Here is a 19,248-nt window from a genome sequence, read left to right as displayed (position 1 = left end):
AAAAATACAAAAAAAAAAAAAAAAAAATTAGCCGAGCACGGTGGTGGACACCTATAATCCCAGCTACTCGGGAGGCTGAGACAGGAGAATGGCTTGAACTCGGGAGGAGGAGGTTGCAGTGAGCCAAGATCGCACCACTGCATTTCAGCCTGGGAAACAGTGAGATTCCATCTCAAAAAAAAAAGAAAAAAATTTTTTGATTAAGAGTTAAGATAGGCCGGGCGCAGTGGCTCACGCCTGTAATCCCAGCACTTTGGGAGGCCGAGGCAGGTGGATCACCAGGTCAGGAGATCTAGACCATCCTGGCTAACATGGTGAAACCCCGTCTCTACTAAAAATACAAAAAAAAATTAGCCGGGCGTGGTGGAGGGCACCTGTAGTCCCAGCTACTCGGGAGGCTGAGGCAGGAGAATGGTGTGAACCCTGGGAGGTGGAGCTTGCAGTGAGCCGAGATTGCGCCACTGCACTCCAGCCTGGGCGACAGAGCAAGACACTGTCTCAAAAAAAAAAAAAGAGTTTAGATAAAGGAAAAAACTCCATTTAAATGTTTATGTGAAGAAAACCATAATGGATTACATGGCACAACAACAGTTTCAAAAAACTAAAACCAATTTGAAAACATTAATCATCACAGTTACTTATATTCCCTTAAAAATGATCTATATGCCCCTAGTGTCACATAAGATAAGTTAATCTAGGAGTCTATCTCACTCAGACTTTTTGCAACTAACATGCATTCCTTTGTTTCTTCATCACTGTGGGGAAGAGGTGGTATATACAAAAGATTCTTGACATAACCCTATAAAAAGATTATCACATGGTGTGTTATCTGAGAATTTAAATGGTCACAATTCCAGGATATGTCAATGCTACCAACTTTCAAAAAAAAATAAATAAATTTGACCTATAACGGGGGAGCCAGCTGGGGGTAGGGGAGAAAGAGGCAAACTGTGTATCCTGGAATTTTGTAGCTGGATAAACCACCAGCAGCAGCAGCCTGATCAAAACTGCAACTTGTTGCCCACCTGGACAACCCATCTCTCTTTTCTAGAAATTAGCATCTATGCTCAATTTCTAATAATGGAATGGTGCCTAGGTACTCATGTTTGTCTAGGTGAAAATAGCTTCTAAATCCAGGTGCTTATACCAGAATTGTTCTCCTGGAAATTTAGGACTGAGACATTGAGTCAGTTACCTGTAGGGTAACCTGTAGAATCACAGATTTCTCAAATTTGACCTGTCTTATTTTAATACCATGTTGCCCAGCAATGTAACCTTCCCTGAAGTATCAGTTTTTGTAAAATCTCCCAATCAATTTCTTATCAGATTATATTAAATACCTATCATCTAGAGTACTCCAGAAGCCAAATAAATATTAAAAACAAAAACAAAAACAAAAAACTGAGATAGGGCCAGGCATAGTGGCTGACAGTAATCCCAGCATTTTGGGAGGCTGAGGTCGAAGAATAACTTGAGGCCAGGAGTTCACAACCAGCCTGGGCTATATATAGCAAGATGCTGTCTCTCTACCAATTCTACCAATATTTTTAAAAAAACTAGGTGTGGTGGTGGCACCTGTACTCCTAGTTACTCAGGAGACTGAGGTGGGAGGACTGATTGCTTGAGGCCAGCAGTTTGAGGCTATCGTGAGACATAACTGTCCACTGCACTCCACCCTGGGGTGATGGAGTAAGACTCTATCTCTAAATAAATAAATATTACAAAAAGAAAAGCACTGAGATAGGCAATGTTGGTGAGTGAGATTACAGATTTTAATCTCATGAACAATTTTAAGCTGCTACTATACACTGCCATTTCCAAAAGTTTAGATTGGAATGCTTGCTGCCTTTGGTAGCTAAGAGAAAAGAAATAACAATGAGGGATATTATAGTGTCATTCTTCCACAGTCCTTATCAAATAAATAGGCCTTTGAGTCTTGGAACTGTTGAGAGTAAGAAAGCAAATAATATATCAAGTTGACAAGCACAAAAGACACAAAGAGGCCAGGCATGGTGGCTCACGCTTGTAATTCCAACACTTTGGGAGGCCAAGGCAGGGGGGTTGTTTGAATCCAAGAGTTCAAGACCAGCCTAGGCAACATAGTGAGATCCTATCTCTATAAAAAATAAAACAAAAGTAGCCAGACATGATGGTGCATGCCTGTAGTCACAGCTACTCAGGAGACTGAGATGGGAGGATTGCTTGAGGCTGGGAAGTAGAAGCTACAGTGAGCTGTAATTGCACCACTGCACTCCAGGCTGGGCAACAGCAAGACCATGTTGGAAAAAAAAGAAGAGGGGAGTGGCAGGGGAGGAGAGACCACAAGAAACAAATATAATGAATAATAGTTTACTATTCCTGAGAAAAAGAGAATACCAAGTGTAAGAGAATGTGTAACTAGGGTTGGGGAGAGGGGGGCTGGAGAGAGAGAACACACAAAGACAGCAGAGAGAAGTCAAATAGAAAATTTCAAAATGAGAATCAGCTGATGTATCAAAAAGAGCAAAAGAATTTTTTTACAGCCAGAACTGCAAGATTTTGCTTTTCAAAATGATTCAATTTTCCAGAAAAGAAAAATCAATTTAAGCACTCACCTAAGTAACTAGTATAAAGTGTCAAGCAAAAATAAACATTTATTAGATATAGACAAATGCAAATATATTCAATGCTTTCATACAAATATGAATATCAGGGGCCTTATTATCATCTCGTTAATACATGCCAGTGAACAATTTGTAGACACAAGACTTGTTTTACAAACAGAGTAATATGTTTCATGAACATAAGTCAGGAATTTAAAACTTAGTGTCTATCTCTTCATTCTAAGAAATGTTTCAATTAACTGTGTGTGTGTGTGTGTGTGTGTGTGTGTGTGTGTTCTATCTCAGGAAAGATTCAATATTGTAAAAATATATTCATCCCTAAAACAGTATTTCACTGTAACTCTAATACAGTCTAAATTGTGCTTTTATTAGTCCTAATGTTCATCTAGAAAAATAAATACATGATAATATTTGTCTTACCATGTACTAAAATGCATATAAAGCCACAATAATTTAAAATAGTGTGTGTGGTGCCAGGATAAAAATAGACACACCAAAGGAACACATAAAAAGTCCAGAAACAAACTCAAGTATTCAATAATTTAGTAATGATTCAAATAATATTTCAAATCACTATGGAAAACATAGATTATTCAGCAATAGTGTTGAAAAAGTTGACTAACCAGGTGGGAAGGGAAAGTTGGGCACATATCTTACCATATTCTAAAATTATTCTAGGCTAATGAAATGTTTATATCTAAATAATTCCTTCTTTGGTCTACCTTTGCTCCTTTTCTACTTGAACTATTTTAGTCTTAAAGCCACAAGATGGGGCTGGGCCCATATAGTGGCTCATGCCTGTAATCTTAGCACCTTGGGAGGCCAGAGCAGGCAGATCACTTGAGCTCAGGAGTTCAAGATCAGCCTGGGCATCATTATGAAACCTCAACTCTACAAAAAAAATACAAAAAACTTAGCCGGGTGTGATGGGTGTGCCTGTAGTCCCACATACTTAGAGGGCTGAAGTGGAAGGACTGCTTGAGCCCAAGAGGTCGAGGCTGCAGTGAGCCAAAACTGCACCACTGCACTCCAGCCTGGGTGACAAAGTGAGACAGGGTCACTTTGATCAAATAAGTAAACTATTAAAAATATTAAGAGTCAGGTTTCTGTCTGAGAATCATAAATATGGGGGAAAAAATTAAAATGAACCCTGTTTTGTTGGGCTAGATTTGGAGAAGTTACCATGAGCATATGGAGTTCAATATATAGAGATGGATACAGTAATAGAGATTAGTGTGTGTATGTATATTCACATAATGAATCAAAGTATTGTGACCTCACAGCTTGTTCTTTTTGTTTTTTGAGATGGAGTCTCATTCTGTCGCCCAGGCTGGAGTGCAGTGGCACAATCTTGGCTCACTGCAACCTCTGCTTCCCAGGTTCAAGCAATTCTCCTGTCTCAGCCTCCCGAGTAGCTGGGATTACAGGCGTCCACTACCATGCCCAGCTAATTTTTTTTTTTTTTTGAGATGGAGTCTCACTCTGTCACCCAGGCTGAGGTGCAGTGGTGCGATCTCGGCTCACTGCAACCTCCGCTTTCCAGGTTCAAGCAATTCTCCTGCCTCAGCCTCCTGAGTAGTGGGATTACAGGCGCCTGCTACTACACCCGGCTAATTTTTGTATTTTTTAGTAGAGACGGGGTTTCGCCATCTTGGTCAGGCTGGTCTTGAACTCCTGACCTCGTGATCTACCCGCCTGGGTCTCCCAAAGTGCTGGGATTACAGGCGTGAGTCAGCAGGCCCAGCCAATTTTTTTTTTTGAGACAGAATCTCACTCCGTTATTCAGGCTGGAGTGAAGTGGTGTGATCTTGGCTCACTGCACCCTCTCTGCCTCCAGGACTCAAGTGATTCTCGTCATGCCTCAGCCTCCCAAGCAGCTGGGATTACAGGCGTGCACCACCATGCCCAGCTAATTTTTGTATTTTTAGTAGAGACAGGGTTTCATTAGCTAGGCTGGTTTCGAACTCTGGACCTCAAGTCATCCCGCTGGCTTCGGCCTCCCAAAATGCTAGGATTACAGGCATAAGCCATCGCGCCTGGCCCACAGTTTTCTACATAGATATAGAAACAATAGATGTGAATTTATAGAAATATGTATCTCCGTAGGAATACACACACACACAAACACACATTTCCTAGCCATGCTGACTGAGAGTAGCAATAACCCACACCTAGCACCCACTTTGGCTTCTAAATATTATTCTCACCAAAAAGAAATCAAGGTTACTCAGAGAAATGGTGATTTCAGAACTACAGCAGGAATAACACAAGATGAGCCTAGATTATACTGTTGTGTCAGAAGTAGAGAAATGCTTCTCTGAAATGATAGGTCAAAAGACACAGAAGCCAGCTTAAAGAGGTCCCACCAGGCAAACCTGAGACAGTATGAACATCAAAATAAATGACATTAGTGGAATATGACCCATTAAAATAAAATAGCATAAGTCCATACTAATACAAATAATCAGCAAGTAAAGAAAGCTTCACCTTACAGTGGAATGTCAACTGATGAATGTAAAAGAAAGGGTGAAATTAGAAAACCACTACTTGCCATCAATCCTAGTCATAAATTAGGTCAAGAAACATCAATGAATGCTAAAATTAGTGAGGAAAAGGCAAAAGGAACAAGATGTTTATATATGAAGTACTTCCCCCACAAAATCCATACTGACTATAAAAAGAAAAAAGATTAACCTCACTGTGGAGAAAACTGACAGACACACCTTAACCAAGTGATCAAGGAAAAACTGAAATTATGTACCAACTGATAGGATGCAAAAAAAAGAACACAGAATCACATATGTGATACTCCTGCTAAAAACATAACTGTATTTAATCATGATGAAACATCAGGCAAATCCAAATAGGGGGTCACTCTACAAAATAACTGGCCTGTAATATTCAAAAGCATCAAATTTCTGAAACTCGGGGAAAGACTGAGTTACCATTTGAGATTTAAAAAGACCAAAGAGACCCGGGTGGGGTGGCTCACGCCTGTAATCCCAACACTTTCAGAGGCTGAGGGAGGCAGATCACTTGAGGCCAGGAGTTCGAGAGCAGCCTGGCCAACATGGCAAGAGCCTGTCTTTACTAAAAGCACAAAAAAATTAGCTGGATGTGGTGGTGTACACCTGTAATCCCAGCTACTCGGGACGCTGAGGCACAAGAATCACTTGAACCCAGGAGGTGGAGGCTGCAGTGAGCCGAGACTGCGCTACTACACTCCAGCCTGGGTGACAGAGTGAGACTCTGTACAAAAATAAAAATAAAAATAAATAAAAAGACCAAAGAGTCAAAATGCAGTTTGTGATTCTTTTGCTATAAAGAATATGCCTACAAAAACATGAATGGGTTCCAAAGATCAGAGAGTAATAATGTATCGCTGTTAATTTCCTTATTTTGACGGCATATTGTATATTCCCAAGAGAGTATCCTTCTTTATGGGAAACTCTGAAGTATTCAGGGGTGACAGCATATTATATTGGTAAGTTACTCTCAAATGGTTTAGGGAAGGAAGAGTTCTTTTGTACTATTCCTGCAACCTGTTTGTAAGTTTTAATGCTTTTAAAATTAAAAAGAAAAACAAGGTTTTTAAAAACGAACTTCCAAAGCACTAAAAAAAAAAAGTGCATTAATATAAAGATTTTCTTTGCACAGCATCAAAGGCAGAAACAATAAAGAGCATTTGTGTAAATTACCTCGAAAATGTAAACTTCTGCATTACAAAAAATTAACCTGCTAGAATCCCAACAACAAAAGCTATGAAGACGTAACAAAATTAAAAACCAAATGTTAAATTATGGGAAAAAACACACACAGCAAATATACAAGACAAAATAATATGATCTCTAACATAAAACACTTTGTAAAAAAAATTATAATATTAAAATAAACAGATATGGAAGGTCAATTAACATACATGAATAATCTTCAAAAAACAAACTTTAAAATAATTAACCTTACCAGTACTCAAACTCTTTCAAACATTTTAATATTTTTTTTTTTTTTTACTAGAAAGAATAGCAAAGTTTTTTAAGGGTAACACAGTGTACCTAACATAATATAGGGTTATGAGCAATCTCACATATAGCTAATACAGTGTAACTTCCAGAGGACAATTTCACACAATGTATTTATTGAAGCTTCCAAAATGTTCACACACTTTTACACAGATGCTAGCAGTGTATACTAAATGCCAGACACCAAACTAGGCCCTTCAACCACAAAGGGTTGCTTAATTAAATTTACAGTTTGTTGAATCTCATGTTTTGTATTACAGACTAAGTATCTATTAAAAATACAGCAGAAACACAATTTATTGACTCGCAAAAGATGCTGTGTAAGTTCCAAAAGCAAAGAAAAAATATAAGCGAAAACGATTCAACTTTTTTGTAAGCATATACTATAAGCAAAAATACACAGAAAAAAACCTGGATGAACCTGAATAAGATTATGAATGATTTTTGTCTTATATTTATTTACTTGTCTGTATTTTCAAGTTTTTAAAATAAATATTAATTACAAAATAAAAAGGTTTTTTACACAAAAACATTTAAAATCTTAAAGCTGGCTGCAATTTCTTCCACGGATGGAATGTGTACCTTCAATTAAATAATAAAACTATATTTAAAGGCACATTGGGTAATGGTAAAACCTAAAATGCACAGGAGAATAAAACAATAATATATATGTACTAAATGAAGAAAAATATACAGGAAAAAAGCAAACTTTTTTTTTAAGGCCAACAATAAAAACCATATCTTGGGGTACAAATAACTTTGGGAGGAGGAGACAAGTAACATTCTAATATAGGACTGTTCTTCAAAAAAGAATGTATGATACATTGTAATGAATATTATGCAAAATAATAATTAATTCAAATTTAACAGGCTCTTGATACTTGAAAGCGCAAAAGAGGTCAGTAATTCATAAAGCACCAATCTGTAAGGATTAAAATATCCTGTATATCGTAGAATACTAAATACCTAGGTTACTATAAAAGGTAACACAGTTTTGCTTGCTTTGTACTCCTGTGACCTTAGTAACATATTAATAACATTTTAATAACTGCAGTTTGGAGTAGTAATTTTTTTTCCAAATCTCCCTGGATTTGATGGAGACCTGTGATTTTAAAAACACAAAAACTTCCTTTCTACTTCCCAGTAGTGATATTCAAACAGTAATAAAATAATATCCACTGTACCTTATTATAACGATCATGCGGAACAGACTGTAAAACAATTGGTTCCATTGTGGAAACATTGGCAAATTGTACCTCTGGAATATACAGGGCACAAACCACATGGGCCCAACCTAAAAATAAATAAATAAATGTCATCTTTTCAGTTTTATCGAAAGCAAATTAACACCGTTAACTTCCTTAACAGATCCCTTAAATGTCTATTGAAATAAATGCACAACAAGGACATTAACAAATTCTCATTGCTGTCTTACTTCCATTGCTTGAGAATACTCAAACCACTACCAAAAAAAAGCATTCTTAATCATTTCCCCAGTTATGATGTACAGTTACATAAATAAAGGGAAACATTTATAAATTCAGATGTTGGCACTAACACTTCTTATACAGGCAGACTAAATATTCAGATCAACGCTACCTCTGAGAACCACTATAAAAGGAGTTTTTAAAAGTTTAATACTTACGACAAAATTTAATTATCTTAATCATTTTAAATGTCAACATGAAATTATTTTTATCTTAGTGTCAATATTTTTAATATTAGTAATAATCATTTCACTATTTTAATTTGAAATGTGTTAAATTTCATATTAAATTTTTTTTTTTTTTGAGATGGAGTTTCACTCTTGTTGCCCAGGCTGGAGTGCAATGGCGCGATCTCGGCTCACCGCAACCTCCGCCTCCCAGGTTCAAGCAATTCTCCTGCCTCAGCCTCCCGACTGAAGGTATTAAAGAGCTGATATGATAGTGAGGAGTTTCTGGGCTAAAACCGGAAAAGAATGAAAGTCCTAGGTACAGTTTTTGGCCACTTTTGCCCAGGGAACATTTGCCTATTTCAGAGAAAGCGGTGGTGAGGATGAAGGGTCCTTTTTTTTTTTTTTTTTTTTTTTGAGACAGAGTTTCGCTCTTGTTGCCCAGGCTGGAGAGCAGTGGCGCGATCTCGTCTCACCGCGACCTCCGCCTCCTGGGTTCAAGCAATTCTCTTTTACAATACAAATGACCCAGTAGCTGGGATTACAGGCATGCACCACCACACCCGGCTAATTTTGTATTTTTAGTAGGGGTGGGGCTTCTCCATGTAGGTCAGGCTGGTCTTGAACTCCCGACCTCAGGTGATCCGCCCACCTCAGCCTCCCCAAGTGATGGGATTACAGGCATGAGCACCACGCTCAGCCTGAAGGGTACTTTTGACAAACTCAGAGGCCTAACAGTACAGGGATGTACATTCAGAAACAACCAACAGAAAAAGGGAACAAGTAAACCCCTCTCGTTTCAGATGCAACACTGAAGGGCAAACTAGAGCTAAGAATACACAAAAAGTACATAGACCCTCAAAGAGACTACACCAGGCCTCTGACCATCTCAAACTGAAATTTGACGAAGGTAATCCTAAATTACAACCCCCAAGGCACCAAGCAGATGCAAATATACATCTATCCTCTCTAAAAGAAAACAGTATCATCTTGGCTACAAATAATTTCCACCTTTTTTTTTTTTTTTTTTTTTTTTTTTTTTTTAAAGACAAAGCCTTGGTCTGTCGCCCAGGCTGGACTGCACTGGCATGATTTCGGCTCACTACAACTTCCTCCTTCCAGTTCAACCAATTCTCCTGCCTCAGCCTCCCAAGTAGCTGGGATTACAGGTGCCCACCACCACACGGGGCTAATTTTTGTATTTTTAGTAGAGACCATGTTTCACTATGTTGACCAGGCTGGTCTCGACCTCCTGACCTCAAGTGATCCACCAGTCTCAGCCTCCCAAAGTGGTGGGAATACAGACATGAGCTACCACACCCAGCCTAAAATTTCTTCATTACATATAATTTCCAGCACAATAAGTACCAAACACATGACAGACAAGACAATATGAATGAAAATAAGGAGAAATAAGAAAATCAAAACAGATCACCATTTTGGAGTTATCAGATAAAGGTTTTAAAATAAGTATGCTTACTATGATCAAGTACACACAAGACAAAATTCTAAATTGATGCAAATAACTGAAAACTATAATAATAAATTAAAATTCCAGAAGTAAAGAGGAAATTTAGAAATCAGCCAGGCACAGGGGCTCACACCCGTAAGCCCAGCACTTTGGAAGGCTGAGGCGGATCACTTGAGATCAGGAGTTCAAGACCACCCTAGGCAACAAAGTGAAACCCCATCTCTACAAAAAAAAATAATGAGTCAGGTGCGGCAGCATGCACCTATAGTCCCAGCTACTCAGGAGGTTGAGGTGGGAGGAGTGCTTAAGCCCAAGAGTTGAAGGTTGCTGTGAACTGTAATTGTGCCACTGCAATCCAGCCTGGGTGATAGAGACCCTATCTCAAGACAAAAAAAAAAAATCAATGGGTGGGATTAACAACGGTTTAGACATGGATGAAAAGAGAATTAGTAGGAACAAAACAGGTCAGAAGAAATCCAGAATGTTAGCACAAAAGTAAGAAATACAAAAAATGGAATAAGACACATGAAAAATGTAATAGGCAGGCAGATCTAACACACATGTAATCAGAGTCTCAGAGAAAATATGAGAAAGAAAATGGCATGAAAGCATTATCTGAATTGATAATACCTAAAAATTTTCCAGAACAGAAGACCCAAAGCCACTGACTGAAGAACCACTATAAATCAGAGTAAATAAAGACATACACCAAGAGACAATAAAACTACAGAAAACTGGCCGGGCGCGGTGGCTCACGCCTGTAATCCCAGCACTTTGGAAGGCCAAGGCGGGCGGATGAAGAGATCAGGCGGTCAGGAGATCAAGACCATCCTGGCTAACACGGTGAAACACCGTCTCTACTAAAAATACAAAAAATTAGCCGGGCAAGGTGGCAGGCGCCTGTAGTCCCAGCTACGCGGGAGGCTGAGGCAGGAGAATGGCGTGAACCCCGGGGGGTGGAGCCTGCAGTGAGTCGAGATCGCGCCACTACGCTCCAGCCTGGGCGACAGAGTGAGACTCCGTCTCAAAAAAAAACAAAAACAAACAAAAAAAAAAAAACTACAGAAAACTAAGGGAAAGAAATGAAAATCTTAAAGACAAAAGGCAAGTTATCAAAAGAAAAACTAGATAACTAAATAAAGCCAGAAAACATTTTTTAAAAGTTTTCCATTAAAGGGAACACCAAACAATTTTCCTTGAGTAATAGGAAAATGATTCCAGAAGGAAGCTCAGAACTGAAGAAAAATATAAAGAGTGATAAACATGTAGGTACATTTAATATGTAACGAACATACAAAACAATAATGCCTTCACACTCATTTACAATACAAATGACCACTTACATTAAATATTAAAACACTGGTAGGGTTTGTGAATGTATGTAGCTTTCCTATAAAACTATAACAAAGACTGGAAAAAAAACAGGTAAAAGAAGTCTATATGGTTTCATTCTACATTTCGTGTTAAGTGGCACACACAGGCCAGGTGCAGTGGCTCACGCCTGTAATCCCAACACTTTAGATAGCCAAGGCAGGCAGATCACTTGAGGTCAGGAGTTTCAGACCAGCCTGGCCAATATAGTGAAACTATGTCTCTACTAAAAATACAAAAATTAGCTGAGTGTTGTGGTGTGTGCCTGTAGTCCCAGCTACTCAGGAGGCTGAGGCAGGACTGCTTGAACCTGGGAGGTAGAGGTTGCAGTGAGCCGAGATAGTGCCACTGCAGTCCAGCCTGGGCAACACACCGAGACTCCATTTCAAAAAGGAAAAAAAAAAAGTTGTACACTCAGTAGAGACTGAATTTACTGATAAGAAAATTATAATCCCTACAGCAACCACTATATAGATAAATATAAATACTTGTGTATATATATATAGGAAGAGATATGGCCAAAAAGGCAATTTAAGGCAATTTAATATAATTAAATTTAAATGCAATACTAACTAGTTGCATTGTTAAACTGATTAAAATACAGCACTAAAAAATAATCACAAAAAGAACAGAAGAGAAATAAGAAATAAGAGGGAAAATCAATGTTACGAACAAACAGCAGAAGACTTCTACTTCTGTCCAAGATAGACTAAGATAGTCAAGAGAAAGTCACAAGGGAAACTGGAAAATGTCTTGAACGGAATGGCAACAAATATGAAATTTATCAAAACTTGAGACATAGGCTGGGGACAGTGGTTCATGCCTGTTAATCGCTGGAGCTCAGCAGTTTGAGACCAGCCTGGGCAACATGGTGAAACCCCGTCTCTACAACAAATACAAAAACATTAGCCGGATAAGGTGGCGTGCACGTGTAGTCCCAGCCACTCAGGGGCTAAGGTAGGAGGATCGCTTGAACCCAGGAGGTGGAGGCTTCACTGAGCCAAGATCACACCACTGCCCTCCAGCCTGGGTGACAAACTGAGACCCTGTCTCAAAACAACAACAGCAAAAACAAAAACAAAAACAAAAAAACACAACTTGTGGGATTCAATAAAAGCAATAGAGAGGAACTTACAGCATATACATTTTCATTAGAAAAGAATATCTAAAATAAAAGACCTAAGGTTCCACCTTTATAAGTTAGAAAACAAGAGGAAAATGTAACACATAGTAAGTACTAGGAAGGAAATAATAAAGAGCAGAAGTTTAACAAAATAGAAAACAGGGAGATGGCAAAAAAAATTAACAAAACCCAAAACTTTCTTTAAAAAGGTCAATAAAACTGAACAATTCTATTTGGACTGGTCAAAAAAATAAAAATAAAAACAAAGAAAAAACCAGAACACAAGTCACCAACATCAGGAATAACAACGGGGTAATTACTACCATTGCTAGCAAAATTAACAAAATAATAATAAAATACTACTGGCGGCCGGGTGTGGTGGCTCCCGCCTGTAATCCTAGCACTCTGGGAGGCCAAGGCGGGTGGATCACCTGAGGTCAGGAGTTCAAGACCAGACTGGCCAACATGGTGAGATCCCGTCTCTACTAAAAATACAAAAATTAGCTGGGCATGGTAGTGCCTGCCTGTAATCCCAGCTACTTGGGAGGCTGAGGCAGAGAATCACTTGAACCTGGGAGGTGAAGTCTGCAGTGAGCCGACATCACGCCACTGCATTCCAGCTTGAGTGACAGAGCAAGACTCCATCTCAAAAAAAAAAAAATACTATTGGCAATGTTAGTCCAACAATTTCAGCAACTTATACAAAGTAGTTAAATTTCTTGGAAAAATAGAGCGCACCAAAATTGACTTAAGTTTATAAAAATAGGTCAGGCCCAAGGGCTCAAGCCTGTAACCCCAACACTTTGGAAGGATGAGGCAGGAGGATAGCTTGATCCCAGATGTTCGAGACGACCCTCGGCAACAAAGTGAGACGACGTGTCTCTACAAAAAATACAAAAAGAAAAAAATATTAGCCAGGCATGGTGTGCCTGTGGTCCCACCTATTCAGGAGGCTGAGGCAGAAGGATCACTTGAATCCAGGAGTTTGAATCTGCAGTGAGCTATGACTGCATCACTGCACTCTAGCCTGGGCAACAAAGTGATACACTGTTAAAAAAGAAAGAGAGAGAGAGACAGACAAAGGGGAAGGGGAAGGGGAAGGGAAAGGGAAAGGAAAGGGGGAAAAGGAATGTCCCTATAATTTTGCCAAAAAACGAATTTATCAAAAATTTTCCCAGAAAAGTTTCAGTTTCTCACGAAGTTCTATATAGAATTCAAAGAAAAATAACACCAAATTTACACAAACTGTTTCATTTTAAGTGACTAGCATAATCCTCAACAAACACCTGACAAAACCACTATAATTCTTAAAGAAACAGAGAATGAAAGTACATGACAAAAATAAAATATATGTCTGGAGATGGACAAGTGAATTTACAGTATCCTAAAAGTTTCAGAGGATTCAGAAAGAGGAAAAAAGCACATAGTAATGTTAACTTTTTTAAGCTAATAGGGTAGAATGGAACAAGTGAAACAAACCAGAATAGGAAATATTTAATAAGATGGAAGGTTTACACCAGGTGCAGTGGCTCATTCCTGTAATTCCAACACTCTCAAAGCTGAGGCAGGAAGATCACTTGAGCCCAGGACTACAAAGCTACAGTGAGCTAGGATCCTGCTACTTGTAATTCAGCCTGAACAACAGAATGAAAACCTGTCACTTAAAAAAAAAAAAAAAAAACTTTGGAATAGTGAAGGCCTTTCTAACTAATAACTCAAAATACAGACATCATGAAAGATTAATAAATTGAACAAAATTAAAATCAGAAACTCATGCACGGTAAAAAAAAATTTTTTTAAAGCACAATATAAACAAAGACTGACCAGATGGGCAAAAATTAGTCCAACTCATATCAAAACAGCATAATAATATATGAGGGGCTCCTTATGAACACTCCAATAAATCAAAGTAAAAAGATCAACAATTGTGGCTGGGCATGGTGGCTCACACCTGTAGTCCCATCACTTTGGGAGGCCAAGGTGGGTGGATCCCATCTCTACTAAAAATAAAAAAATCAGCTGGGCGCGGTGGTGTGTGCCTATAATCCCAGCTATTCGGGTGAGTGAGGCAGGAGAGTCCCTTGAAAGGGGGAGGCAGAGGCTGCGGTGAGCCAAGATCAAGCCACTGCACTCCAGCCTATGTGACAGAGGGAGACCCTGTCTCAAAAAAAAAAAAAAAGAAAAAGATCAACAACCAAGTCAAAAAACAGACCACAGAAGAGAAAAAACAAACTGCTCTTCAAACTATAAAAAGATGTGAACCTCACTAATATTAAGAGAAATGCAAAACTACTGCTTGGATATACAAACTTTTACCTGTTAGATTACCAAAGGTATGTAGAACAGCTTTTTTATTCATATATTGGTAAAACTGGGAACATATATTGGTAAAACTACAGGGCAAATAATTTGGGACTATCTATCAAAATTAACGGCAAAACTCCTTTGACTCAATGTTTCCACCTATGGAAATTAATAATCCTATAGATATACTTGTATACAAGCAAAATGACATACATACAAGAGTTAGTCATCAAAGTAGAAGATCAGAAAGTGCATCAAGAACTGATTGATTAGATATTAGATAACATGGTTAAAAAGAAAAAAAAGCTCTATACTGAAACAAGATAAACTGTTCATGCCGGGTGCAGTGACTCACACCTGTAATCTCAGCACTTTGGAAGGCCGAGGCAGTAGGATCATTTGAGGTCAGGAGTTCAACACCAGCCTGGCCAACATCGTGAAACCCCATCTCTACTAAAAATATAAAAATTAGCCGGGCGTGGTGGCACATACCTGTAATCCCAGGAACTTGGGAGGCTGAGGCAGGAGAATCGCTTGAGCCCGGAAGGTGGAGGTTGCAGTGAGCTGAGACTGCACCACTGCACTCCAGCCTGGGCAAATGAGCGAAGCTTCAAAAAAAAGAAAATCGAAGAAAAAAGAAAAGCAAAGTCTCAAAAAAAACAGATAAATTGTTCAGTGAAATAAATTAAGAGGCAGAAGAGTATATAATATTAACCCATTTGTATAAAGATGGAGGGAGTAAATAAGTCTTTATTCACATTTGAATATGCAAAAGAAACCTAGAAAGATATGCAAGAAAGTAATTATTACATAGTAGCAGGAAAACTATTGATAAACTGGGCAGATGGGGAAGAGGAATAACAGGAAGAGTTTTCAACATATTTTTAAATTCTGTACAATCTGACTGTATAACATAGTCTGAAGATTAAACTGTAAAATATATATATCTAGCCAAAATCATTCTATTTTTCCCTTTTATTTACTCACACCATTACTCTAGCCTATGCCAAAACTACTTTAGAAGTGGCTACCCAAAATGGAGAAGAGTATAGTAGTAATAGCAGCTTAACCTTTTTTTAGCTGCCTCATCATATATGCCATGGTCTAATAAACTCATGTCTACACATTTCAGAATAGTACTGAGCTGTAGAAAAATATGATTTCTCTGACAAAGATAACTGAAAGTGGAGAAGAAAATGAGTAATATACAAGGGTTCATAGGAAAGCATACCAAAATGTGATACAGAAGTCAGCTTTTTTTTTTTTTTTTTTTTTTTTGAGGCAGGGTCTCACTCTCACCCATCCCAGGGACTGAAGTACAGTGATGTGGCCATGGCTCATTGCAGCCTCGACCTCCCAGACTCAAGCCATCCTCCTGCTCAGCTTCCCAAGTAGCTGGAACTGCAGGCACGTGCCACCATGTGTAACTCAGTCTTTTTATTTTTATTTTTTATATTTACTTTTGCAGAGACCAAGGTCTCCCTATGTTGCCCAGGATGGTCTCAGACTCCTATGCTCCAGTGAGCCTCCTACCTTGGCCTCTCAAAGAGCTGGGATTACAGGTGTCAGGCAGCACACCCAGCCTAAAAGTCAACATTTCTTTATATTCAAGCAACAAAGATCTTCAGAGTTAAATAAAATTAACATTCACTAGAAACATCATCTGTCTAGAGATACACAAAACAGAAAAAAAGAATCTAAAACAACAGATTTTAGGTCTAACAACAACAACAAAAAAATGTGGCTCATTTTTCAAAAAAAAAAAATTCCTAACATAAGAAACTATATCCATTTAAAAAAAATACTTTTTTTTTTTGGAGACAGTCTCCTTCTGTCACGCAGGCTAATGGGCAATGGTATAATCTCAGCTCACTGCAACCTCCGCCTCCCAAGTTCAAGCGATTCTCCTGCCTCAGCCTCCCAAGTAGCTGGGACTACAGGCAGGCACCACCACACCTGGCTAATTTTTCTATTTTTAGTAGAAACCAGGTTTCACTATGTTGGCCAGGCTGGTCTCGACTCCTGACCTCAGGTGATCCACCTCCCTTGGCCTCCCAAAGTGCTGGGATTACAGGTGTGAGCCACCTCGCCCAGCCAAAAACATAAGAATTTAAATTAGAAGTATGTATTTAATAGATCATACTGCATAAAATACCCAATGCTTAAGTTTGTCCACAAAGTAGAAAAATTGTGGGTCAATACAATAAGGATTTATAAATTATAGCCACCACTGTTAAAAATGAGTAGAAAACGCTGTTTAATTTGATAAAATAAAATAAACTACCAAATATTTGAAAATACTCCACTGTCCCAGTTTTCAATAAAATTTTTTTCAAGAAATCTCTGCACTTACCCCCATTATCTGTTCTTTTTAAAGCTCCATCCTTATGGGGACAAAGTTCACATCTCTATAAAAAAAAAAAAAGAAACAGGTAATGAATATTTCAGATTATCAAAAATGTAGTATCTTCCCTGCAACGTCAAAACTACTGAAAATGTGAGAGCAGCATTTGTCCTAGTTGCCCCCCAAGAATATTTCAGAACATTCTTCACAAACAGTTGTTCTTGATGACATGTGATCTTCTTCAGAGGACAAGTAATTTTTTTAAAGTACATTTTAACTTTTAAATTCCTGCCATGGGCCAGGCGCGGTGGCTCAGGCCTGTAAATCTTAGAACTTTGGGAGGCTGAGGCAGGCGGATTAGCTGAGGTCGGGAGTTCGAGACCAGCCTGACCAACATGCAGAAACCCCGTCTCTACTAAAAATAAAAAATTAGCCAGGCTTGGCAGCGCATGCCTGTAATCCCAGCTACTGGGGAGGCTGAGGCAGGAGAATTGCTTGAATCCGGGAGGTACAGGTTGCGGTGAGCCAAGATCGCGCCATTGCACTCCAGTCTGGGCAACAAAAACGAAACTCCAACTAAAAGAAACAAAACAAAACTCCTGCCACAATTTTTTAAATCTTACATTAATAAAAACACAAAGATGCTGGGATTATTTACCTGGGGAGCGGGAGAAAAAACAAAAAGGTCCTCTCAACACAGGAATGGGGCAAGGCTTTTAACATATGCCTGTTACCTGTTTACTTCCTGTCTTATGGTCAGCTAGGACGACTGCCGTCAAGTAGGTCTGGTTTCTCTTAAAGAGCCTAACTCTAGAATTTAGAATTTTAATTTAAGTGGCAAGAAATGATCTCATGCATGCTGATTTCCCTTCTGAAAGGAATTAGGATAATCAGTTATTATTATTCAAATACAATAGTACTCAAAATTTATTGTGGATCCCTCTCCTTCTCATGCTCAGAATTTAAAACCAAAAATAAAAGTAGAGCCAGTACTACCACTTCTTATGAAACACAGTAAGTTTCAGTGGCACTGTCTTACCAAGAAGAATATGTTCCTGAAAGTCTCACTTGAGTATTATTTATATCCCACTTTGTTTCCAAAAGAGGTTTTGCAGCATACTATATAGTAATATAGGCCGGGCACAGTGGATCACACCTGTAATCCCAGCACTTTGGGAGGCTGAGGTAGGTAGATCGCTTGAGCCCAGGGGTTCAAGACCAGCCTGGGCGACACGGCAAAATCCCACCTCTACAAAAAACAAAAACAAAAAATTAGCTGGGTGTGGTGGTGGCACACCTGTAGTACCAGCTACTCAGCAGGCTGAGGCGGGCAGATCAATTGAGCCCAGAAGGTCAAGGCTGCAGTGAGCCACGATTGCGCCACTGCACTCCAGCCTGGGTTACAGAGTGAACCCTATCTCAAAAAAAACAAAAATAAAAAAAAATGTATATATACATATACATATATATAAACACACACACACACACGTACATACACACATACGTATATATATGTGTGTATGTATACATACATATGTATGTGTATATAAACACACACATTATATATATATACACACATACACACATACTTTATATATATATACACACACTATATATACACACCCTACATATAAATATATATACACTTACATACATATATAAATTACAACAAAAAATTGGAGTAGAAAATTAAGTTGAAATAGTATTAAAAGTACAGAAAGCATAAGCCATAAAAGCCTAATGAGGCCGGGTGCAGTGCCTCACACATATAATCGCAGCACTTTGGGAGGCCAAAACAGAAGGACCACTTGAGGTCAGGAGTTCGAGACCAGCCTAAGCAACAAAGTGAGACCTCATCTCTACAAAAAATAATTTAAAAAAAAATAGAGCCTATTGGCTGGGCGCGGTGGCTCACGCCTATAATCCCAGCACTTTGGGAGGCCAAGGCGGGTGGATCACGAGGTCAAGAGATCAATACCATCCTGGCCAACCTGGTGAAACCCCATCTCTACTAAAAATACAAAAAATTAGCGGGATGTGGTGGTGCGTGCCTGTAGTCCCAGCTACTTGGGAGGCTGAGGCAGGAGAATCACTTGAAACCGGAAGGCGGAGGTTGCAGCGAGCAGAGATCATGCCACTGCACTCCAGCCTGGGCAACAAGAGCAAAACTCCATCTCAAAAAAAAAAAAAGGCTGGGCGCGGTGGCTGACGCCTGTATTCCCAGCACTTTGGGAGGCTGAGGCGGGTGGATCACGGGGTCAGGAGATCGAGACCATCTGGCTAACACGGTGAAACCCCGTCTCTATTAAAAATACAAAAAATTAGCCGGGCGTGGTGGCAGGCGCCTGTAGTCCCAGCT

At 39.0% G+C, this 19,248-nt stretch overlaps 1 protein-coding gene across 4 annotated transcripts in view; it reads right to left on the bottom strand.

The window, feature by feature from the left end:
• The window catches only part of MLLT10 (MLLT10 histone lysine methyltransferase DOT1L cofactor), a 209,875-nt gene that overhangs the window by 140,384 nt on the left and 50,243 nt on the right, over positions 1–19,248 (bottom strand). For all 4 annotated transcript variants that reach the window (NR_136736.2, NM_001324297.2, NM_004641.4 and 1 more), the window contains 2 exons: positions 16,899–16,953; positions 7,807–7,916 (listed from right to left, as the gene is read on the bottom strand). Coding sequence is in view for 2 of the 4 variants with exons in the window: in NM_004641.4 (NP_004632.1) it covers positions 7,807–7,916; positions 16,899–16,953 (165 nt within the window). In the remaining 2 variants the exon portion in view is untranslated. The remainder of the gene's footprint in view (positions 1–7,806; positions 7,917–16,898; positions 16,954–19,248) is intronic.

This window comes from Homo sapiens, chromosome 10, assembly GCF_000001405.40.
Source record: "Homo sapiens chromosome 10, GRCh38.p14 Primary Assembly".
In the NCBI taxonomy this organism is placed as follows: Eukaryota; Metazoa; Chordata; class Mammalia; order Primates; family Hominidae; genus Homo; species Homo sapiens.
Note: the sequence above shows the minus strand (reverse complement) of the source record. Positions and strands in the feature narration are given on the sequence as shown.